General features: G+C 42.2%; 3 protein-coding genes and 1 pseudogene across 8 annotated transcripts in view, besides 9 other annotated features; 2 read left to right on the top strand and 2 right to left on the bottom strand.

Moving 5' to 3' along the window:
• Nucleotides 1-15,656, bottom strand: part of LNPEP (leucyl and cystinyl aminopeptidase) — a 101,434-nt gene extending 85,778 nt beyond the window's left edge. For both annotated transcript variants that reach the window (NM_005575.3, XM_047417177.1), the window contains exon 1: nucleotides 15,562-15,656. In NM_005575.3, coding sequence (NP_005566.2) covers nucleotides 15,562-15,580 — 19 coding nt within the window. In that variant the 5' untranslated portion in view covers nucleotides 15,581-15,656. The remainder of the gene's footprint in view (nucleotides 1-15,561) is intronic.
• RPS20P16 (ribosomal protein S20 pseudogene 16) lies at nucleotides 8,514-8,841 on the bottom strand (annotated as a pseudogene).
• Nucleotides 15,123-15,202: a silencer, noted in NCBI's record as "silent region_16200". NCBI's record gives its function as "represses an Ori minimal core promoter by ATAC-STARR-seq in GM12878 lymphoblastoid cells {active_cell/tissue: GM12878}" and the evidence as "EXISTENCE:reporter gene assay evidence [ECO:0000049][PMID:35858748]".
• Nucleotides 15,333-15,402: a silencer, noted in NCBI's record as "silent region_16199". NCBI's record gives its function as "represses an Ori minimal core promoter by ATAC-STARR-seq in GM12878 lymphoblastoid cells {active_cell/tissue: GM12878}" and the evidence as "EXISTENCE:reporter gene assay evidence [ECO:0000049][PMID:35858748]".
• On the top strand, nucleotides 15,661-17,645 carry LOC124901030 (uncharacterized). Its single transcript, XM_047417984.1, has one exon. It carries the CDS (start codon nucleotides 15,661-15,663, stop codon nucleotides 16,363-16,365), a length of 705 nt encoding a protein of 234 aa, XP_047273940.1. The 3' UTR covers nucleotides 16,366-17,645.
• Nucleotides 15,882-24,253, top strand: part of ERAP1 (endoplasmic reticulum aminopeptidase 1) — a 175,042-nt gene continuing 166,670 nt past the window's right edge. For all 5 annotated transcript variants that reach the window (XM_047417310.1, XM_017009581.2, XM_011543485.3 and 2 more), the window contains exon 1: nucleotides 15,882-17,614. The gene's annotated coding sequence lies outside the window, so the exon portion shown is untranslated. The remainder of the gene's footprint in view (nucleotides 17,615-24,253) is intronic.
• Nucleotides 15,993-16,302: an enhancer, noted in NCBI's record as "active region_22828". NCBI's record gives its function as "activates an Ori minimal core promoter by ATAC-STARR-seq in GM12878 lymphoblastoid cells {active_cell/tissue: GM12878}" and the evidence as "EXISTENCE:reporter gene assay evidence [ECO:0000049][PMID:35858748]".
• Nucleotides 16,343-16,412: a silencer, noted in NCBI's record as "silent region_16198". NCBI's record gives its function as "represses an Ori minimal core promoter by ATAC-STARR-seq in GM12878 lymphoblastoid cells {active_cell/tissue: GM12878}" and the evidence as "EXISTENCE:reporter gene assay evidence [ECO:0000049][PMID:35858748]".
• Nucleotides 16,603-16,742: an enhancer, noted in NCBI's record as "active region_22827". NCBI's record gives its function as "activates an Ori minimal core promoter by ATAC-STARR-seq in GM12878 lymphoblastoid cells {active_cell/tissue: GM12878}" and the evidence as "EXISTENCE:reporter gene assay evidence [ECO:0000049][PMID:35858748]".
• Nucleotides 16,853-16,972: a silencer, noted in NCBI's record as "silent region_16197". NCBI's record gives its function as "represses an Ori minimal core promoter by ATAC-STARR-seq in GM12878 lymphoblastoid cells {active_cell/tissue: GM12878}" and the evidence as "EXISTENCE:reporter gene assay evidence [ECO:0000049][PMID:35858748]".
• Nucleotides 17,053-17,182: an enhancer, noted in NCBI's record as "active region_22826". NCBI's record gives its function as "activates an Ori minimal core promoter by ATAC-STARR-seq in GM12878 lymphoblastoid cells {active_cell/tissue: GM12878}" and the evidence as "EXISTENCE:reporter gene assay evidence [ECO:0000049][PMID:35858748]".
• Nucleotides 17,243-17,452: an enhancer, noted in NCBI's record as "active region_22825". NCBI's record gives its function as "activates an Ori minimal core promoter by ATAC-STARR-seq in GM12878 lymphoblastoid cells {active_cell/tissue: GM12878}" and the evidence as "EXISTENCE:reporter gene assay evidence [ECO:0000049][PMID:35858748]".
• Nucleotides 19,984-20,143: an enhancer, noted in NCBI's record as "active region_22824". NCBI's record gives its function as "activates an Ori minimal core promoter by ATAC-STARR-seq in GM12878 lymphoblastoid cells {active_cell/tissue: GM12878}" and the evidence as "EXISTENCE:reporter gene assay evidence [ECO:0000049][PMID:35858748]".

Below are 24,253 nucleotides of genomic sequence, written 5' to 3'. Positions count from 1 at the left end.
TTTAACATCCTCAGGCAGGAATGTAAACTCCAAAAACTTATTCCTGTGGAAAAGTAATTTTCTTTATCCTGAGGTTCACAGAAAGAAACTGTCTAAAGTGAAGACTCCTATGATACAGTTGTATCCCCCATCCCGCCCCCGACACCCTGCAAATTCACATATTAAAGCACTAACCCCCCGCCAGGTGCGGTGGCTCACGCCTGTAATCCCAGCACTTTGGGAGGCCGAGGCGGGTGGATCACGAGGTCAGGAGATCGAGACCATCCTGGCTAACACAGTGAAACCCCGTCTCTACTAAAAAATACAAAAAATTAGCCAGGCGTGGTGTGGGCGCCTGTGGTCCCAGCTACTTGGGAGGCTGAGGCAGGAGAATGGCGTGAACCCGGGAGGCGGAGCTTGCAGTGAGCTGAGATCGCGCCACTGCACTCCAGCCTGGGTGGCAGAGCAAGACTCTGTCCCCCGCGCCCCCCGCCAAAAAAAGAAAAAAAGCACTAACCCCCATTGTGATTGCATTTGGAGACAGGGCTTTTAAGATGGTAATTAAGGTTAAATTCGGTCATAAGGGTAGAGCCCTAATCCAATAGGATTGGTGTCCTTGATAGAAAGAAACAGCAAAGCTCGCTCTCTCCACATATGCACAGAACAAAGACCATGTGAGGACACAGCAAGAAGGTAGCATTCTGCAAGTGAGAAAGAGAGCCCTCACCAGAAACTAACTATGGTGGCCCCTTGATCTTGGACTAGTAGCCTCCAGAACTGTAAGTAAATAAATATCTGTTGTCGAAGCCACCCAGTCTGTATTACTTCATTCTAACAGCCAGAGCAGACTACTACACTGCCTATACTATGTTCCCATATAATTACTCTATAAATATACTAAGGAGTAGGGAGAAATGGAGATTTTAAGCGGGAAGGAAGTAGTGAATCAACGTATTCATAGTACCGCACACAATAATTTAAGTTGTGTGGCCATTAATGAGTTGTTTAGGTTTGTTTTCCTCAAAATGTCATTTGATTTTTAACCTTTGATTAACATCAGTACAGAAACATCCACTTTTTTCCCTCCTGGATAGTGTCAGGTCTAAAATTCATGCTTTCATACCTCAGCTCATACTGCAACTAATTCATAACACTAGTTATTAATATTTTGTTACGTCAACTAATAGAGAGTCCTGCCTTTCAGTGGCTTTGCCCAGTTGACAACCATGACACAGCTTAACCTTTACTCTTCCCATAAGGCTACATGAAAGCTTGTGGGACCCATTCATTGCCTTCTCACCAACTCTATGGTATATTAGGAAATTCCTTTTTAAAAGTTGAATTTAATTGGCTTGGGAATTGTTTTTGTGGCTCTCTAATGAAGAGCAAAGTGCCCCAATATAGGTCAGCCAGAAGTCCTTGCAGCACTGTAGGAAGAGAAATTGATTTAATTGCACCACTTAGGTCTCAAACGCACAGCAGCTCTCTAGCTATGAAATAAGAAGATGAAAGAAGAAAGGAGGTAAATGTTGGTTCACTCTTTAATGTTGATTTTGAAAATGCTTCAGAGTAAGAGACTCCTTCCCTCCACATCATCTTCCTTTCCCTCTAACACTGAGAGGGTTTCCTATTTAGCACTGTCTTCTCTGTACAAAGCATAGGGTTTGAAATACTCCAAGTACTCAATAAATTCATTTCAGTGGAAAGGGAAGCTGAATGAACACTAATAAGAATGTTCCAAAAAATGATTTGGAATTACTCTATTTGCTATGGAAAAGTTTACAGAAAAAGGAAAGGTGAGGGGGAGGATGGAAAAGGAAAGGAGGGAGGGAGGGAAGGAGGACGGAAGGATAGACAGACTGACTGACCTCTAATTTAAGAGTCCAAACAAAACTGTTAAATGTTTGTTTTGGAGTTGTTTGGAGTAATATTACTCTCAGATAACATTTATTAAGCATCTAATATGTGTGCAACAAAACACTATGTTAGACGCCAACCATTGTAGCAAATATAAAAGAACTGTGTTTTTGTCTGCTATATGTAATTAATGTTTTTCGGCTGAACAAATAGAACCTATTTGTATGAATAATGAGGTGCTGCATATTGCATTTTCTTGAAGGCACCATGAAAGCATACCTGGGCCAGAATTAAGTTGGATGTAGGAATGTACAGTTCCTCTACTCTTTAGGCTAGTGGCTCCCAACCTTTTTGGAACCAGGGACTGGTTTTGTGGAAGACAATTTTTCCACAGACAGGGGTGTGGCGGAAGTGACAGAGGCAAGAGCATGAAGGGATGATGGTTTTGGGATGAAACTGTAACACCTCAGATCATCAGGCATTAGATTCTCATAAGAAGCATGCAACCTAGATCCCTCCCCAGTGCAGTTCACAATAGGGTTCATGCTCCTATGGGACTCTAATACCACCCTGATCTGACAGGAGAGGCGCCCAGGCGGTAACGCTCACTTGCCCACTGCTCACCTCCTGCTGTGAAGCCCAGTTCCTAGCATGGTCCTTGACATGCAAATTGGGGACCCATGCTTTAGGCAACACTTCCATGAAAGTGTTGCAAATTCAAAATTGTTAATAAATATGAAATGGAAAGAATCCTCCTATAATGGCCTCAAGCCCTTAGTAAAGAATTAGGATCCAAGAAACACCATTAGTTCCCAGCTTTTCAAAACCTCACTAAGGCTGGAATATGCTCAAACCACCACTTATCTTAGACCACTGCTAATTTCAAAAAAGTTTTAAGTTTTGAATGTACATTTTAGGTTTTTAACTAAAGATATTAAGATATTCTGGTAATATCCTTAAGAATCAGAGAGCTAGTGAATAAAGAGCCAGGATTTGAATATGGCTGTCTGAACTTTTCACTTCACTATTATACTATACTATACAGTAGTCAACAAAATAAGGTAGATTTATAAATAGATCTCCAAAATGGAAAAAAAGAAAAAAAGCTACAAAACCAAATGTATCTCCAGTAAAAGGTGTGGGACTGGACCTATAATTCTCAAAGTATGATGGTTTTTGGAGAGGATGCTAGTCTGTATGTTCATATTAATAATCTTTTCGAGAAACAATTCCACAAGAATGTAAGCTCCTCAAAATCAGGGACCATGCTACGTTAATATTTGTAAATTTAAGAACAAAGCTTAGAACAAGGTAGCATACAGTAAAGGAATATTTTAATGCATTTAATGTATCTATTTGGGAGGGCATCTTTTTGAAAATAGAATAGTTTTTTAAAAAGATACACGGGCACAAGTCAAAAGCAAAACAAATAAAAATACTTATTAATGGGAGCAGTTTAAAACAGAATGCAAGAAGAATCTGGGCTGGGCGTGGTGGCTCACGCCTGTAATCCCAACACTTTGGGAGGCCGAGAAAGGCAGATCACCTGAGGTCAGGAGTTCGAGACCTGCCAGGCCAATAGGGTGTAACCCTGTCTCCACTAAAAATATAAAAATTAGCCGGGCATGGTGGTGCATGCCTGTAATCCCAGCTACTCGGGAGGCTGAGGCAGGAGAATCACTGGAACCCGGGAGGTAGAGGTTGCAGTGAGCCGAGATCGTGCCACTGCACTCCAGCCTGGGAGACAGAGCAAGACTCCATCTCAAAAAAAAAAAAAAAGAGAAATTTGTATTAAAATGTTTACACTATGCTTCTTCCCGGATCACCACTGCCCCTTCCCCAATAAAAGAAGAATGAAGCATGGTGACCTGAAAAATGATTTATGCTTTGCTATATTTTCTGTCTAGGTGATAAAAATAAGAGATGAAGAACAAATTACTAAAGTAATGTGAAAAGGAAAAAATTCAAAAAGAGAAAAATGGAAAATCAGAAAAATAGAAAAATTAGGTAGATTTGAATCCTATTATTCTCTGGTTTCAGTAAAATAGAATTAAACCCAAAGCACTCATCTCCCAAGATTTTTTTTGTACATTATATTCTCTCTATATGTAATATTTCTGTATTTAGTTTTCTGGTTGCTATCTGCAGTGGAATATACAACTAATATAAAATATTTATAATAATGTACAAAGTTGTAATAATAACCACGGAGTTCTACTGAACAATTAGGCATTCAAAAACATTGTCAATGCCACAGAGAGTGAAACACATTGTCGATTCTACAGAGGAAGTCCTGTAGTTAAAAATCTGTCTAAAGGACATCTCAAAAGCATCAAATTACCAAGTACAATACAATACTCCATGAACTAAAAAACAGACAAATAGCACGGGAATAAATACTGAGAGCATTTGGTTGCTTTATCCTTGTATTAATCATATGACCATGCCTAAAATTCACATAAAGATACGCTCTTTTAGTCACTTAAAAGACAGCCAATAACCCTGTTGAGGGAAAAATCAAATTATTTTAGCTCCAATTTTCAATTTTCTTTTTCTTTTCCTAGGTTAAATTATTTACATTTATATTTATACAAACTTGTCCCCCCAATCAAATTAACAAAAAATCTTTATATTCCATAGTATTTCTTAAATCTTTCCTCACAATATAGGGTGCCAGTCTTTAACAATGCTTAGGGCCCCTGTTAGATTTAGCAATATAAAGTAATTTACATTGTCAATGATGCCTAAATATTTATGCTTATTAATCTCTCAAGCAAATCTGCATAGCTGCAAATACTTTCACAAGATCTAAAGATAAAAAGTTTACTTTTAAATTCCATCAATTCGCTATACTATAGTCTTAAAAGAACATCTTAACCTATAATTCCTTATTTAAAATGAAAAATTACATTAGACATAATGAGTATCTGTGAGTTATTTAACAAAGAATGCATATCACTGAATGGGATCTGCAAAGGAAATTTATAAGAACTCTTCAATGTATACAGAAAACTTGTGAGTTAAACAAGAAATCTCAGTTGGTGAATACATTTATTTGCCAGATCTCAGAAGGATCTGAACAAAAAATTACCTTGCAGATAATTTTTTGTAATACTTTTCCATGTGACTCATTGGATTGATAAAACACCAGGTATACGACAGTCTTCAGTCTTTATAGTAACAACTTTGTCATCAATTTACAACTGACTGAGGGCCAGTTTGCTTATCATTAACCAACTTAAAAAATTAGTTATGGATTAGTCAAAAGGCTGGGATAGTAACTACATTTTTTCTACTAATAGTCATTGTCATTCGATGATGTGCCAAGACAAGATTCTATGCATAAATTCTTCAAGTCTTTATCGCAATAATATTTCCTGAATTGGTAATTAATTAAAACAGAATTATGCCCAACTGCAGTGAACAACTGGACTGGAACAAAGCTAGCCACACTTTAGTGAACATGTGCTTATTTCCATCTAATTCAACATGCTCTATTATCTAATCCCCAAGTCACACTAGACCCTCTTTTCTATATTCAATTATTTTTCTGTGTGCTTCCTACAAGTGGAATGCTACCAAGCCTCTCAGTATCCTGTACTGATGCAGATGGAAGTGAGGCTGCTGCTTTAAAGAGCAATGCATTTCTTATTCCCACTAATACCCAATACTCTATTGTTCAGTTTGAGTTATCTTCATAATGTAGCTACCCAATCTAGATACTAAGGCGCTGAGCCTCCAGTTTAAAAAACAGAGAAACTACTAATAAGAGGGGGCCAGCCCAAACTCCTGCAGGTGATCTTGATAAATGTGGACACACTAGCTCCTCTCACCAAGACTCAAGTGTCATGGCAGCCTCCCTTATTTCATCATTGAGGCCCTTCCGACAATTATAGGACAAGCAGACACCAGACATGTATTACATTCTTTCTGTCTTCAAAGCACTTTACCAATACCAACTTAAAAAGATATTTAAACATCTCCTTTTGATTGAGCTCTCAAGATTGAGTTCTCCTCATCATTCCCACTAATCTCTATAAATTTTTCCTCTAAAGAGGATCTTGGAATGATTTTGTAAACCAAAAATAAAATTCTAGGCCCCTCAACTGACCGAATGGACCCCTCTGACTGAACGGCCAAGGGCATTCCAAAGTAAACATGAAAAACTAGCTCAGGCTATGATGGGAAGCGGGGGTCAGACGCACCTCATTATACTCTCCTCCCTTTGGAATTCTGGCACAACTGACCAGCATTAATATTAAAACAGAGATCTTAAGACTGACGAAACACTCTTTGTAGCAATAAAATACCAAATTCTAAACTGACTCTAGTATAACATCACACAACAGATAGCAGGCTGTGAAAGAAATAAAGGTATTTTACCCCAAAATATATTTCTTAGACCTATTTTGAAATGGCCCTGCAAAGCTGTCTCTTGTGTGGAACATTCTATAGAAAAAGACCTTTCTGATCTCTTTTTTTTTTTTTTTTTTTGAGATAGGGTCTCACTCTCTTGCCCAGGCTGCAGTGCAGTGGCATGACCACAGCTCACTTCCACTTTGCCCAGGCTCAAGTGATCCTTTCACCTCAGCCTCTCAAGCAGCTGGGACCACAGGTGCATACCATCACACCTGACTAATTTTTTTTTTTAATTTTTAATTTTTTTGTAGAGACAGGCTCTCACTATGTTGCCCAGGCTGGTCTTGAACTGCTGGCCTCAAGCAATCTTCCTGCCTTGGCCTCCCAAAGTGCTAGGATTACAGGTGTGAGCCACTGCACCACCCCAGGTCTTTTTTTGATCCAGGAGAGATTTAACTAAGAGTCTGGCACATTTTACGTTCTGATAAGAGATAATAACCATCTATTCTCTGAAAGCCTGCTACCTGGAGGCTTCGTCTACATATTAAGAACCCTGGTCTCCATGACCCCTTACCTTATCTTAACCCAGACACTCCTTTCTATGGATTCCAGGTCTTTAGATAATAACTTAATTATTTCGACCAACTGCCAATCAGAAAATCTTTGAATGTGGCCACATGTGTGGCTCATGCCTGTAATCCCAGCACTTTGGGAGGCTGAGGTGGGTGATGACTTGAGGCCAGGAGTTCAAGACCACCCTGGGCAATATGGCGAAATCTCATCTCTACTGAAAAAACACAAAAATTAGCTGGGTGTGGTGGCAACATGCCTATAATCCCAGCTACTCAGGAGGCTGAGGCACAAGAATTGCTTGAACCTGGGCGGCGGAGTTTGCAGTGAGCTGAGATTGCACCACTGCACTCCAGTCTGGGTGACAGAATGAGACTCTGTCTCAAAAAAAAAAAAAAAAAAAAAAAAAAGCAAAAATAAGAAAAACAAAAAAGAAAATCTTTGAATCCACCTATGAACTGGAATAGAAGTCCCCGCTTTGAGTTATCCCCTTTCCAGACTGAGCCAATGTACACTTTACATGTATTGATTGTTGTCTGCCTATAACTTCTGTCTCCCTAAAATGTATAACATCAAGCTGTAACCCAACCATGTTGGGCACATGTTCTCAGGACTTCTTGAGACTGTGCTTTGGGCCTTGGTCACACATTATTTATCTCAGAATAAGCCTCTTTAAAGATTTTACAGTTTGACTCTTTTCATTGACAATGAAATGTTTCATTGACAATGTAATGATGTTTCATTGATGAATATACTAACAACTGTTTTAAATTTGACAAAATAACAGTTTCAGCTGTGAGAAATACTATGGCTTAAGCCTCCTTCCTTACCAGAAATTTTCTCTATGGCACTGAATGACACCTGAGTCAGTTGTCCGGGAAATGCTCCCACATAGCACTGTTCATCACTTGCTGCAAGAGGAAGGGAGCACACCCAACCCATAGAGGCATCCTTTTCTCACTGCACTCCTCATTCTTCTGTTCCCTCAGTTGAAGAAGCCTTCTTTAACTTCCTTCACCCCAGATCATTGGCTGGAGAAGACTCTGAGCCCCACAATCCAGAGAAATTCAGACAACTGATTCAAGTTCTGGTTCAGTGACTACATTTTTGAAATATGTGGAATGCCCAGGAGTACCTTCATTAAGCAATATGTATTAGAAGAAAAAGAATTTCAAAAAGTCTCCTACAATTGAACTTGATCCTCCATTGTTTTTTGAAACTCCCTTGGAAGCTTGAATTTTCCTTATTTGGCAAATGACCTGGTTTCCTCCTCATTTACATGTTAAGGATGGAATTTTAAAAAAATTAATTGGTTCATTGTTCTATCACAAGCACCAGTAGAAAAGTGAAGCAAAGCCAGGCTATAAAGAATAGTAGGCTGGCCACAGGGCCGCACTGGCTCACACCTATAGTACCAGCACTTGGGGAGGTCAAGACAGGCAGAACATTGGAGCCCAGGAGTTCGAGACCAGCCTGGCCAACATGGCAAAACTCCATCTCTACAAAAAATACAAAAATTAGCCAGGCATGGTGGTGTGCACCTGTGGTCCCAGTTACTCGGGAGGCTGAGGCAGGAGAATCGCTTGAGCCTGAGAAGTCAAGGCTGCAGTGCTGTGGCCGTGCCACTGCACTCCAGCCAAGCAAGACCCTGTTCCCGTCCCTCCCAAAAAAAGGAACAGCAAATGACTGCTACCATGGTAGTCCCAAAAGGTAGATAGCTCTCTATAGTTTTCTTTTTTTTTTTTTTAAACAACTGGTAATCATTTATTAAAATAGTTGACTTAAGCATCTGCAATGGTGACTTCAACCTCAACTCCTGGCTCAATAATGATGGAAGTAATCTGCTTAACAATCTCAGAAAGACTGTGGAAGTCAATGAGTCACTTATGGATTCTCATCTGGAAACAATACCATGTCTCAGAACCTTCATAAGAAGTTTTTCTTGTAATGTTTCTCAAAGTCTTGGTAGGCATTCAAACTGGTCCTATCACTTTAGATTCTTTTCCTTTGATCCATTGATCAAGTCGGCACACACCTTCTCCAAGGATTTTACCTTGCAGCTCGTTAGAGTGATTCTTTTTATTTATTTATTTTTTTATTATACTTTAAGTTCTAGGGTACATGTGCACAACGTGCAGGTTTGTTACATATGTATACATGTGCTATGTTGGTGTGCTGCACCAATTAAGTCGTCATTTACACTAGGTATATCTCCTAATGCTATCCCTCCCCCCTCCCCCGACTCCATGACAGGCCCCAGTGTGTGGTGTTCCCCACCCTGTGTCCAAGTGTTCTCGTATTTTTTTTTTTTTTTTTTTGAGATGGAGTCTCGCTCTGTCACCAGGCTGGAATGCAGTGGCACGATCTCGGCTCACTGCAACCTCCGCCTCCTGGGTCCAAGTGATTCTTGTGCCTCAGCCTCCCGAGTAGCTGGGATTTCAGGCACGTGCCAACATACTCAGCTAATTTTTGTATTTTTAGTAGAGACAGGGTTTCACCATGTTGGCCAGGCTGGCCTCAAACTCCTGACCTCAGGTGATCCGCCTGCCTCAGCCTCCCAAAGTGCTGGGAGTATAGGTGTGAGCCACCGCGCTGGGCCTAGAGTGATTCTAATTCAGTGAATTGCCACCTCTGGCTTCATGGGCGTTTTTCTGTATCTCCTGACCAACCTGTTTTTTGGTGAGAGCGAGCGGCGGTGAGTCAGGAGCAAGAGCAGGCTTACCACAGCTCCACACCACGTTGTTTATCAAAGAGCTATATTTTTTCTTTAAATCTAAAACATTCAGACAAGTGAACAGTCCCAACTTACGAGTGACTGAATTTTCTGACTATAAAAAAGACAGTATGCTTAAATTTCTGGCAAATGTTTTCTATCTCTTGGCAAGGCTCCCAAATGCCAATCTTAACTCATTTGTCCCCTGAGCCCCCAATTCCATTAATCCAACCAGACCTACCTACCTGTCCCCTTCCAACCTAGACTCTGTCTTCAACCTCATACAACAGTGTCCTGCTCTCCAACTGAAGCTCATTTCTGAACCAAAGACTTGCAAGGATCAAGGCATGACCATTTTTAAAATCTCTGCCTATCAGCTTCTTCCTTTACCCCCAATCTCCACATTTCTTTCATCTTCATCATTGATTCTCCTCTTCCAATTTTCTCTAAACATCTTTGTAAAATGCAAAGTCCTTCAGGTGCTGCTAGGACAATCACAAATGAATTACAACAATGGATAAGGTTACAAGGGAATCCTGTCCACCCTTCCATGGACACAGAGAACTCTTGATGTTCCATTTACTGTCCAGAAACACCAAGGCAATAAGCAACACTCTCTATAACGGCCATATGTAGATCTAGGTCAAGATCTAGATATAAAAAGAACTGTACCACCACAAGGGCTCCAAAATGTCCCTTCATTCTCAATCCTGGCTTCTTGCAAACTTTCAGAAAAGTTGCTGAAATTTATCTACGGATTCAAATTAAAAAAATAATAATAAATAAATAAATAAAAGACTGTGTCTTTCTGGTTGCTCCAATTATACTATGGAAAGGCCTAGTAGTATCAGCTCAACTCCAGCCCCCTACAGTAGGTTTGCCCAACCCCAAGGCCACAGACCAGTACCAGTCTCTGGCCTGTTAGGAATCAGGCCACACAGCAGGAGTGAGCAGCAGGCAAACAAGTGAAGCTTCATCTCTACAGTCAGTCCCCATCGTTAGCATTACCACCTGAGCTCCACCTCCTGTCAGATCAGTGGTGGCATTAGATTCTCATAGGAGCACGAACCCTATTGTGAACTGCGCATGTGAGGGATCTAGGTTGTGTGCTCCTTTTGAGAATTTAATGCCTGATCTGTCACTGTCTCCCACCACTCCTAGATGGGACTGTCTACTTGCAGGAAAACAAGCTCAGGGCTCCCACTGATTCTACATTATGGTGAGTTGTATAATTATTTCATTGTATATTACAATGCAATAATAATAGAAATAAAGTGCACAATAAATATAATGCACTTGAGTCATCCCCAAACCTTCTCCCCTTTAGAATATATCACAAACTAGAAAGTATACATACATCCCCCCGACTGTGGTCCCTGGTCCCGAAAAGTTTGGGGACTGCTGCCCTACAGTTTTCAAGTCATGAGGTGACTAATTGACAAAACATAGCTGCACTGACCTCACCTCGACTGCCAAGAACCACAGGCCTCATCTAGGTCCATCCCAACATCTGGGGTAATCTTGGCTAAACTCTTTCAAATCTCAATTTCCTAATGTTTTCATAGACAGGGTTAATACTGCTGTTTCCTAATAGGAGTATTACACTAAATTAGTAGACATGCAAACAGTTATGAACAGTTTCTGTACATTTATTTCATAATTAGAATACTGTCTTAGACAAAACTTTATTGCTTTTTTATTTCTTCTGTGTTTCCATATTTCATATTAGCATGACAACAAAACTAGGTTCTTCTATTCATTTCTCTTATTTAGGTAAGCATTATCTGATGACGAGGTTGTGGGTTTTTTTTTTTTAATGTAACTGTGTCTAGCAGAAAATCTACTTGTAAATGGGCATTCAAAAGATAGCTGTATGATTGAATTACTGAGCAGAAAATTACCACTTATTTTCTATATAATTTCCTTATAACCAATCTCTCTGGTTATCTATCTTTCAGGCTGAGTTCTCAAGGATAACCTACAGATAAATGATAATCACCGGTTATAAGAGTTTCTAAAATATGCTGTTTTTATGCATGTATCAAGACAGTTTTTGGAAACTGGCAAGTAATAGCAAAGAACTTTTCTACCACTAGTTTCCAGTTAAAAACTGGGCTGTTTCTAGCTATAGCTTTAACCCTAGATTGTTAGTGATGCTAACACTTAATTCCTAACAGTCTTATTTCCCCCAAATAAAATTAAAAACTTAAGACAGAAAGATAAAAACAGGATTTAACTTATATTCCATCACACAGAGAAACTATGAGCTCCTATTTCTTAAGAGTTGTCTTTCAATGTGGAAATTTATCATAGAGCAAAAGAAAAATAAAAACAAAATGTGGTATGCTCACATTTTTGAGAAGTGATGCTAAAAATTTTTTTTTAAAAAGACTCACATATCTATAGAACAATTGTTATTTGTAAGATTAAAAGATGGAATCACAATTTTATACTGTATTACAACCCACAAATATCTCATTTGTTGCCCAGACTTCCCATTTTTGAAGTTGAAAAATACTTTCAACTGGATACCAATCTGAACATGAAAGCAAAAATAATTTTTTAAGACAACTAAGTCCTCCTTGTTTGATTATGCACCACACTGCGGTAATAAAAGTGATTCATAGGACCTACATTCATATGAAAAAAAAAACTATTTATGTTTTCAGTTCTGGGACCTCAAAATGCCAAAATACCAACCTTTAGATATACTTTAGAATATATCACAAACTAGAAAGTATATATACTTTCAGCTGGGCGCGGTGGCTCATGCCTGTAATCCCAGTACTTTGGGAGGCTAAGGTGAGCGGATCACTTGAGGTCAGGAGTTCACCTGGCCAACATGGTGAAACCTCATTTCTACTAGAAATACAAAAATTATTTGGGCATGGTGGCGGGCGCCTGTAATCCCAGCTACTCGGGAGGCTGAGGCAGGAGGATCACTTGAACCCGGGAGGCAGAGGTTGCAGTGAGCTGAGATTGTGCCACTGCACTCCAGCCTGGGCAACAGAGTGAGACTGTGTCTCAAAAAAAAAAAAAAAGAAAGTATACATACTTTCTAGTATGTATTTCATATATAATCAGACCTCCTTAATCAGATTCTGAGGGTGAACCTTAGCATTTGCATTTCTTAAGATGAATTTAAGTTTTTACAAAATATACCAACCCTGCATGCAAATGAAGACAAAAATCTGGATAAACATCAAAGAATTATTTAATCTAATATCTCTAACCAAAAAAGCAGATAGTTGCCTTCAATTTTTTTTTTTTTTTGTAATATACAAATCACTATTACTTAACAGTTTTACCTCTACCTGCCTAATAAGACATAATCATTATTGCCAAAACAATCTTAAGTACTGGTCCAGCACATCTCTCTTCATAAAAAAAGCCACCAAAGATCCAAACCCAGACCAGATGTCCAGACTTCAACATAATAGCAATCCCTCCCAAGGACAAAGCCAAAAATAGATCCTGAGCTAAATGGGAATTCCTAGCACTAAGATCCATCCTTATAAGCCCTTTCCAGGGATATGCATTTTAAATGGGTTGCAGAAGTATGTTACCTGAACAGGTTAACATAGGATATTCATCAAATGAACCAATTATCAACAGGTAGAGAGCAGGGCCCAACAAAAATAGGTCATACCAGTGGCAACTTTGGACAGAAAACAGGGAAACTACAAAAAAAACGTACTGGAATAGATGAGTATTGAAGGCTAGAGTGACAAGATATAAGCTAAATTCACTTCCTTTACAAATGCATAGGTCAGTAGATGGAACCACTGACAAGATTTTAACTAAAAGATATGTGGTCCTAAATTACTGAAACTGTTTTTTGTTAAGCTCATACACCTCTCTACATATATAGGGATACATGAAAAAGTGTAAGTGGGAAAGATTCCATTAAAAGAGGATGAACGTGTAACAAAATCCAATACCAGGCTTGATAAATCTTGCAATCATAAATTCTATGGATAATGAAATACTCTGCATCATCACACCCAGACCAATGGGAGCATTATACATGCATTATTTTTTGTACTCAAAAGGATGAAGTATATAACTGTCTACTGTACCATGTCATTTGAAAACACTAGAAAATTCTACAGCAATCCTTCAAAAGTTTTCAAATAAATACCCTGTCCATCTTAAACCTGAAAAGCACTTCAAATTGCTAACATTTAATTTCTTATTGACTGTAGATATTGTCGTTTCTGTTTTCCTTGTAAAAGGATGCTAAATAAGGCTCCAAGGAGTGATTGCTACATTAACCAAAATTATGCACTGCCAAGCTGTCTCCAGCATCAACTCTGAAAGATAGGAAAGAATCAGAAATCCAATTTCCTACATGAAAGTTGAAGCATTGCTTCTTTTTTTGTTCTCTTCTGTGGGATTTTTCCATTGTCCTCCCAAATGTGACAGTTTGCAAATACCCACATCTAGAAGCAATCTAGAAGCATATTCTATAAGAGAAAAGACACCAATTTTAAAACTTGAGAAAGTACTTTAATTCTGTAGGCAAAGGTTCAGCAAATCAGCTAGCACTAATCTTGACCAAATGGGTGAGTCAGCCTCATCACAGAGATTTTTTTTTTAATTTAGATGAAATTTCACATTTAAAAACATGGTAACTCCAAGCATTCTTCCAAAAACAAAGAATGAACATTGGAATAGTCACTTACAAGGACTTAACGACTTGTATTAAACATATTTTACACTAAAGTACTAGATGGTCTCTAGTTCATTTTAGCTCAAACCTTCCTTAATTCTTCGAGTAACTTCACCAGACTATTCTTTAAGTCTTAGTAATTACAAATAGAACCTGAATGAGAAAGAAAATTCAGAATTAAAGTTGTTATCAGTAAGCCTAATTAAACAGTGCAGACAGAAAGATGGCAGTAGAATAAAGCATTCTACATTAGGAATAGGGAGAATATAATCAGTAGTTCACAGCCCCATGAATGAAGCACAGCATACAACAAAGTCTGGCTGGGATTTGGGATAAAGTGGACAATATCTGTCTGCTCTTGAGTGGTAACTAACAAACTAAACAGGGATATAGACTGTGGCCCCTATTAATGTGATACTGTACCTGAAGTAACCAACCACACTCAGCAAAACATGTCAACCAGAGACTGAATCCTCTTTTAGTGAGTCGTCTCCCTTACTGGCAGTTTTCCTACTTTCTATCTTAAAAGGGAATCCACACACTCAACACCGCAAAACGGTAAGACATCTCACCCCTATATTGTGGCTCTGGCACTTCTGGTCCGCACAAAAGCCATGGTTCTAACTAGGGTGGGATTTATGCTCCCCGTTCAGTGAAGGGCTGTGGCTGTTTGCAGGGTGCAGGCTCCCTGCGTTGACTCTCGCTTCCTGTCACACAGTGGTATCACCACCGTGACGGACCCTTGACATTAACAAGTCTTTGACTGAAAAACTGATGTGATCTGCAGCCAGTGAGGGGATGCGTGGTGGCCCTGCCGAGTACCTCGGCAGGGTCAGGAGGGTGGCACTGTGGCCAGGCACCTCCGCGGCACCGAGCGAGGTGAGCAAGCCTTTCCTGAAGTTTCCCTTCCTTCCACAACATTAACCTGCCAAGCCTCCCACCCCCACCCCGCCCTATTAGGAAAAGTCACGCCGGCAGCTCACTGAAGGGCAGGGGGACAGCTCCTGGCGCCCCACAAAAGTTGGGCTCGGCAGCTGCCACAACTTAACGCTCCTACAGGAGAGTCGGGCCGACACCGCCTCCTCCGGGGGCAAACCTGAGCTGCCAACTTTCCCACTGCCCACTCCTCTGCGCACAGCAGCCCAAACTTTGCTGTTTGCCCACCGGCCGCACCCCGGGCGAGCGGCGGCGGCGCTGACCTTCAAGCCAGCCCCGGGTCCCGCACTGGCCGCCGCCCGCCCCCCGAACCTCCCTGCCTCCCCCAGATCCCCTCTCCCTGCCTCCCTCAGCCCTCGTGGGAAGCCCGCGGTGTTGGGGGAGACGGCTGCAGCCCGACCCCGCGTGTCACGACTGCCCACGACCCTCAGGGCTCCGGAGAGCCCGGGTCCCGGCGCCTCGGCAGCCCACTCACCATTGGTGAAGGGCTCCATTTTCCCCCCGCCGCGGCTCCTTACAGCCGGAGCGCCCGAGCTTCCTACTCCGAGAGCTGAGGCGGCCCAGCTGACTGAGCATGCCCAGCGCGGCCTCCAAGGGCTGCCAGGGAGGTGCCGCGAGGGGCGGCGCCGCTCCGCCGTTCCGGGTTTTCGTGGCAGCTGCAGAAAGAGCGAGGGAAGCAAGAGGGAAAAGCACAGTCAAACCCCCTGCTGCTCCGTGGACAGGCGAGGTGGGAGCGGGTTCGCGCTGGGGGCGGGGCCTAGGCGGGGCCGGGAAAGCCCAGCCCCTACCTGAAGTGGACCCGGCTGCGGCGCTCTCCCCGGCCGGGAACGGTGTTCAGTCACTCAACAAATGTGGAGCCCTACTGCGACCCGCCCGATCCCGGACGCCGAGACACCCGCACTGCGCCAGAAAATCATGGTCCCAGTCCCAGGAGCGGACATTCCAGAAACAGACCATAAATAAACACAGAAGACACACGAGTGTAAAGTCAGTGCCCCGCTGCGAATTAAATCGGGGTGATGTGATGGCGAGTGAGTGGGTAGTTAATTCGGATGGCTTGGTTAGACGAGGCCTCGCTGAGCAGGTGCCACTGAAGCCGAAGTCTGAAGGCAGAGCAGGAACCTGCGGGCGAAGGTCGCTATCTGAACCGCGAATCGCTGGTTTCCCTGGGGAGGTTGGCCGCGGAGGGATCACTGCTCGAAGGACCGAGGGAGCGGGCGCTGTAGGTGTTTTCGGCAGAGATGCCCGCCCGCATCAGAGTGCCTCAGGAGGGCGGTGAGGAGGAGACGGAAGAGAGGGCGGGGACCTCGCAGGGCCGAGGGCGCCCTGGGGTCCAGTCCCGGGGCTGGCGGCTGCCTTGCGGCCTCTAGGTGCGGGCGGATAACAAAACCCGGCGCCGGATCGCCCGGCCCGGGTCGCGGGCGCCGCAGGATGTGGGCAGAAGGCCCGCCTGTTCCGAGCCTTAAATCAACACCTGCGGTTCCCGGGGGTGCTACCACTGGGGCCCGCAGCAAGGCTCCGCGGCGCTAGGCCCGAGAAACCGAAACTCCCCTAGTCGCCCCTGCCCCCCAGCACTCGCGCCATTGCCTCCAGCCCCGAGCCACCATTGTTTCCAGTGCCAAATCGGGCAGCCCCGCTAGCCTCCGAGGCCGAACCGCCAGGGGCCCCATAAGCCCCGAGGAGGCTCGTCGGGAACCGCTTCCTTATCCTCTCGGTATGCGCATCGCCACCACCCTCGCTGCAGAGGCCGCCGCCCTCCCAGCGCGCCATCACCGCCTCCTCTGCCTCTTCCCCTCCCTCAGCCCCGGCCCCTGCATTGACTTGGCTCGGGCTGCGCCTCACTGCGCCTGCCAACTGTCACACGCTCTGAGGCTTTCAACAGCGGGGCGCCAGGGACAAACAAGCCGCGGCAAGCGCAAACAGCCTGCTCAAACAGGGACGGCCAGGGTGTTGTTTGACCAGCACTGGAATTGGAAACTAGGTTTCGAAGAAGTCAAATCGAAGTACAATATTGTATTTTAAACTGCCTGTTGTTATTACATCCCTCACAACGCACGCTCTACTTGAAACTTCCAGTGGATACCAACTGCACTTAGAATAAAAAATGAAACTCCTTGCCTAACTCTGGGACCTCATCAGCACATACTCACCATATTTTGGTAACAAAGGCCTTCATGCTGTTCCCGGAAGTCGCCAAGTTCCATCCATCATTGTTAATAATTCCTTTTGCTCGCTCCTCGCACAAGAACTGTTTCTTCTGCTTAGTGCTTTGCCTACTGATTCCATCTTGTCATTTAAGTCTCGGCTCAAATGTCACCTCTGCAAAGAACCCTTGTCTGACCATACATCTAAAATAGCCACAAACACTCTATAAAGACTTGGCCTTGCTTTATTTCCTTCTCAGCACTCATCACTGTCTGAAACAATGTTTTGGATTTGTTGCTTATTATCAGTCTCCCTTCTCAAGAATGCAAGCTTTGTGAGGGCAGAGTCGTAATCTTTTTTAAGGCTGTATCCCCAATGCCTGGGTAAGTATACAATAAATAATTTTTGCATGAATAAGTGAAGGACATAGTGGTGTTTAGAGTTCACTTCCACTGCTGCAAACCCTTCCAGTTAATGACTCCATACTGAATGATGTGTTTGATCAGTACAGAGAAGGTGTCTGTATCATATGATACCTCAGAGCTGCTATCTCCCTAATGTGTGAAAGGTAATCAGAACCGTTAGGCTGGCCCCTAGTACTGACATTTTAGAACCAAAAATAGTGAACCACAGGAGCTGATGTATCCCAGTTCAGATATTATATAGTACACGCAGAGCTAGATTTTGTTAACATACTTCACACATTGTATTGCTTAAATAAGACGCTCTTCTCTATATTTTAGGTCATGTCATGTTCCCTTGAAGTTCCTTTTGCAACCAAACCACTTAGTATAGGAGATATTTAAAACACTGCAGCTTGTTAAATCACCTCACCTCACTTCACCTGTAACCTACAGTCTATCATGCTTTTAAGTGTGAAACATGTTACCTTGTGTTTTGTTTTACATATCCCAACTCTGCAGAGACGTGATAAAAAAAAATGCACTAGCGAATATAGGTGGATCATTATGTCTTTTTGAGATTTCTTTGACAAAGAGACAAATGATTTCTTTGCCAACCTCTTGCCTCCCACCCCTCCCATTCCTTCACACACACAAAGACATGAAGGACCATTTAAAGACATGTAAAAATACAAAAAATAAAATTAGCCGGGAGTGGTGGCACACACCTGTAATCCCAGCTATTCCGGAGGGTGAGGCATGAGAAGCTGAGGCATGAGAATCACTTGAACCCGGGAGGCGGAGGTTGTGATGAACCAAGATCACACCACTGCACTCCAGCCTGGGCGACAGAGCAAGACTCCATCTCAAAAAAAAAAAAAAAAAAAAAAAAGACGTGGTTTTGTATAAGAAGTAAAAATAGTAAACAAACGAAATGTTTCAGAAGCCTACCTAGGAGCAAAAGAATAATAATGAAGTTTGTTTTGTTTCAACGGATACTGTTTTACATTTGACTTCATAGAGCCTTTTTGAGGGAATATGATATCACAATTTCACAACCAAAACCCATTATGTTTTTATCTTTAACACCCGCCTATCCTCCCACACAGAACTTCCTCTTTAGTTTAAGAATATGACAGTTTAAGTTATTATGAAGTTACGATTCATTATCAAAGGAGATAATGTGACATTATCTACTATACCCATCTACTGTCTTCGGAATCATTGCTCTCTACCATTTAACACTTGAAAACCATTAATTTGGAGAGTTAATTATAATACATAATAAATAGCATGACAGGAAAAAAATATAAGCACCCTGAAAAACAAATTGCATTTGTTTAAAGAACTGACAAACTTGATAATCAATGAATATAGGGATATTTTTATCAAAATAAAACACTTGGTATTCCATAGATCAGCAAATCCAAGCCTCACATTGAAACAGATAAGGAGGGAACTACTGTCTAGAGAGGGTAGAATATTTACGCACAATCCACGAGCAGACATGGACTGGAACTCAGGCCATCTGTGTTCTAAACCAGTGCTTCAGAGTTTTCTGTTGTCTCCCAGTTTCCACAAGCAAATTGGGGTCAATGACAAAAATCCACGAAAAGAATATGGAATAGAGAGAAATATAGCTAATTTCATCTATTAGAAGTCTATTCCATTAATCATTTAATTAAGATTCCAACTTAATTAGTTGATATTCCATAGGGAATTTGGATTCAGCCCTGCTAAGTGATCTTTCTAATTATTTTGAAATAAGCAACAATACATTAATTCATTGAACACATTTGAAAATGTTATTTGTTCAGCACTCGAATAAATGGAGGAAGCTGCTTCCCGCCAGGGCAAGGCTGACCATCATGAGGTTTCCGGCCACCCTAAGGACCGAAGGAGTCAATATCTCATTGCCTTTGTAACCCATTTGTAGCATACATACACTGCATTAATTAGTAATGTTTGAAGTTGTATCAAATCAAGAAATGTTTAGAGCACAGAAGAAAGCAGAATAATTATCTAATAAAGTTCAAGTAGAGCTTAGGCATTAGCAAAAAAACGCAGCCAAATAAAGTGAAAGGTTATTATTTGGAAAGAACAGTGATATACTAGTTCAGATTCCTTGGGCTACAAAAGACAAAACTCTGAGTAAAACTAGTTTAAATGATACAGACATTTATCATTTCATATAACAAGTCCACTGATAAGATAATCTTCAATCACAGCTCACCAGCCTCATCAAGAGCCCAACTTCTCTCTCTCCACTCTTCAGTCCTCTATATGAGCAATTCCCCAAAGCCCAGACTACCATATGGTCAAAAGTTGGCTGCAGCAGGGGAGGAAGAAGGAACTTACTCTTCCGTGTCTCTTTCTTGAGAGCAGGGGAAACCCTTCTCAGAAATTCCCCATTAGAATTCTCCTTAGGTCTCATTTACCAAAACTATATTTTGTACATTTGTAGACCAATCACTGGAAATGAAAATGAGGTTATAATTGAGACAGAGTAGAAATGGGGCTTAGCTTCACCTCACCCCTACTAGAGCATTCTTTCATGCACCCTCACCGAGCACAAAACCTACACTACTACCTCACTGATGCCTTAATGTTTAAACCATGCCTTTTACTTAAAGAATTCCAGGAACTAGGCTGGGCACAATAGCTCACACCTGCAATTCCAGCACTTTGGGAGGCCAAGGTGGGAGGATTGCTTGGGCCCAGAAGTTCAAGACCAACGTGTACCCCACAGCAAGACCTCATTTCTACAAAAAATTGAAAAATTAGCTAAGCGTGGTGGTCTGTGCCTTTGGTCCCAGCTACTCAGGAGGCTGAGGTGGGAGGATTGCTTGAGCCTGGAAGGTGGAGGCTGCAGCAAGCCAAGATCACACCACTGCACTCCAGCCTGGGCAACAGAGTGAGATCCTGTCTGGGAAAAAAAAAAAAAAAGATTTCCCAGAACTGGCCTTAGGAGATGACCAAGGTTGTGGAGTGTCCTAGGTAGGGAAGGAATGCTGAACAATTGATTTACAGCCTTGTTGCCTCTGGCTGCCCATTACTCAAGATAGCCATACTAACCAGGTAATGCTGACCTGCATAGCCTACACATGATATGCTTTGCCCAGTCCAGCCTGCATATCCTACCCCTGATGTCAATTCCCGCACTTTGCCTAATAAAAAACCACGACTAGTTCTTTTTGGGGAGTCAGTCAGGGAATTCTCTCTTTTGTGCTACCTCCCTTATGTCCAAGCATAAGCTCCAATGAAGGCTTGTCTAGGGAAACTGTTTTGGCCTCACATCAATCTCTATTGCATTGACAGCCCAAGAACCAGTGGTCAGTAACACTATGACTAGTTTCTTAGACAAAGTACAGCCTAAATCTGCTGAGTTTAAGATCACCTTCCTTGTTTCGTATGGGAGGAGAGGGGTATTTGAACAAAACCATTTTCCATTCAGAAAGGAAAAGGGGAGTGTCAACTGAGGAATGATGAGGTTCACAAATTTGGAAAGTTATTTCTCATAAAGGGTTGCAGCCTGTAGGGTGGCCATGCTGACAGGCTGACCCCACAGCCAGAAGCCAGAAACAGACACTCTGAGGGAGGGGCAAAGAGAACAGGAATTTATGCTGAGCAGGGTGGCCAAATATATGTATTCAATAAGCTATAGGAGGAGTCATGAATATTTATCAAAGGATAAATGTGTGCATGCGCAATGGAGCTTCATGCCCCTTCATGGGTCCCATATACAAAAAATGGCAGTGTTAACATGATCCGAGGGTGGAGTTTTCAGTCCTCTGACATCAAAAGGTGAAGCAGAGGACATGAAAACTCTTACTGTGCATTCTCTGGAGATGGGCCAGAACCACTCCATGTGGTGATCTCTTATCAGGCAAAAAACTAGAGGCAATATCAGGTGGTTGGTTGATATTAGGGGTGGAATCTTTCAAAAGGGCTGGTTTCCGTTTAGCCCTTAGGGAAGAAAGGCTAATCCTGAATATTGAGGAAGGGGTATAATAAGGCTTGTTTGACCCTGGCATCCTGTCATGAATGAGAATTTAGTTTTCAAGGTTACCCTGGGGTCCCCTTGGCCAAGACATGGTCTGTTCAGTCACTTGGGAGGCTTAGAATTTTATTTTTAGTTTACAGGAGTTAAGCAACCAAAATGTTAGGCAGGCAACCTAAATGTCCACTAAAGGTTATAAACACTGATATATTTTAATAAATAAGTGCCCTAAGGCACTTATATAGGAAAGTAAAGATGGAGCCATTAAATACAATGTAATTTTTTATATAATTGATTAATATAATTAGGATTACAAACCAAGAAGTGGTATATTATTGTAAATGAAAAGAGTCAAACTCTGTAAAATATTTGAAGAGATTTATTCTGAGCTAAATATGAATGGCCATCACCCATTACAGAGGACCAGGAGATCCTGAGAACATATGCCAAGCATGCCTGTAGTCCCAGCTACTTAGGAGGGTGAGGCAAGAGAATCATTTAACTGAGGAGGCAGAGGTTGCAGTGAGCCAAGATCATGCCACTACACTCCCGCCGGGGTGCACTACACTCCAGCCTGGGTGACAGAGTGAAGCCCCGTCTCAAGAAGAAAGAAAGGAAGGAAGGAAGAAAAAAAAGGAAGGAAGGAAGGAAAAGAAAAGAGGGAGGGAGGGAAGGAAGGAAAGAAGGAAGGAAGGAGAAAGAAAAGTAGATCTAACTTATTTTGGGCATGTGTATTAGTTTACTAGTGTTAGCAATGGCAAATCCGTCGGGTCTGCAGAAACTCTATTTTTGCCTTCTTGGAGGAAAGAATTCTGCTGAGGGGCATAAGGCAGAGAGACTGAGGCAACTTTTAGAGCAGGAGTGAAAGTTTATCAAAAAGTTATAGAGCAGGAATGAAAGGAAGTAAAGTACACTTGCAAGAGGGCCAAGTGTACCTGAGAGATCCAAGTGCACTGTTTGGCCCTTGACTTGGGGGTTTTACACATTGGCATGGTGCCAGGATTTCTGTGTCTCCTCCCTTGCTTTATCCCTTGTGGTGGGCTGTCTGCATGTGCTGTGACCTGCCAGCACTAGGGAGCGATCACCTTACTGAAGTTGTACACATGTTCACTTGAGGTGTTTTCGCCTTACCAGTTGAGCAATCCTAGAGGAAGGCCATATACTTGTTGTATGCCATTTTGCCTCTTAGTGCACATGCTTGAGCCCTCTTACCCATCTCATGAGATCTTACTGAGAAGCTGCTGATCACCAGCTTCTGTTGTTTTCTATCTATTGCGAGATTGCCTTTCCCTGACGCTGGCTGCAACCAGTTACTATTTTAGAGAGACAGTATAACAATTGCCTCTCTAAAATAGTAGACATGGATGGGGAGCTCTGCTGTCATGCTCATGTCTGCCTGGCTACCTATTCTAACACTAGGGCTACTGTAAAACCTAGTGCATTCTGAATGACTTAAACAACAGAAATTCATTATCTCATAGTTCTGGAAGATAGAAGTCCAATATCAAGGTGTTGGTAGGACCATACTCCCCCTAAAGGCACTAGGGAAGGATCTGTTCTAGGCCTATCTCCTAGGTTCTAATAGTCCCTAGGCTTGTGGCAAGTAACTCCAGTGTTCACATGACATTCTTCCTGTGTGCATACCTGTGTCCAAACTTCCTCTTTTAATAAGGACACTAGTCATATTGAATTGGAAGCCCACCCTACTCCAGTATGACCTTATCTTAACTAATACATCTGCAACAACCCTATTTCAAATAAGGTCACATTCTGAAATATGGGGGATTATAAATTTAACAGATAAATTTTGGAGGACACTATTCAACTCATAACAACTTCATTGTAATGGAAATAAGGTTGAAGATAAGTATCAACAAAGTATGCTTCAAAGGATAGTATCAAGAAATGAAAAGATAGCCAGGCGTGGTGGTTCATGTCTATAATCCCAGCACTTTGAGAGGCTGAGGTGGGCGGATCACTTGAGGCCAGAAGTTTGAGACCAGCTTAGCTAAAAATACAAAATACAAGAAATTAGCTGTGTATGGTGGTCTGTGTCTGTAATCCCAGCTACTCAATAGGCTGAGGCATGAGAATCACTTGAACCTGGGAAGCAGAGTTTGCAGTGAGCAGAGATCATGCCACTGCACTCCAGCCTGGGCAAAAGAGCAAGACTCTGTCTCAAAGAAAGAAAGAAAGAAAGAAATGAAAAGACAGTTCACAGAATAGGAGAAAATACTTACAAACCAAGGGACTTCACAAGGGACTTGTATCTAGCATATATAAAGAATTTTTAAATTTAATGATAAAAGATAAATAATCCAATTAAAAGTAGGCAAAGGACTGTAATTCCAGCACTTTGGGAGGCCAAGACGGGCAAATCACGAGGTGAGGAGATTGAGACCATCCTGGCTAACACAGTGAAACCCCGTCTCCACTAAAAATACAAAAAATTAGCCAGGCGCGGTGGCGGGCGCCTGTAGTCCCAGCTACTTGGGAGGCTGAGGCAGGAGAATGGCGTGAACCCGGGAGGCGGAGCTTGCAGTGAGCCGAGATTGCGCCACTGCACTCCAGCCTGGGCGACTGAGCGAGACTCCGTCTCAAAACAAACAAAAAAAAAAAGT

This window comes from Homo sapiens, chromosome 5, assembly GCF_000001405.40.
Source record: "Homo sapiens chromosome 5, GRCh38.p14 Primary Assembly".
NCBI classification, from domain to species: domain Eukaryota; kingdom Metazoa; phylum Chordata; class Mammalia; order Primates; family Hominidae; genus Homo; species Homo sapiens.
The sequence above is the reverse complement of the archived record's forward strand: the minus strand, read 5'-3'. Positions and strand labels throughout refer to the sequence as shown.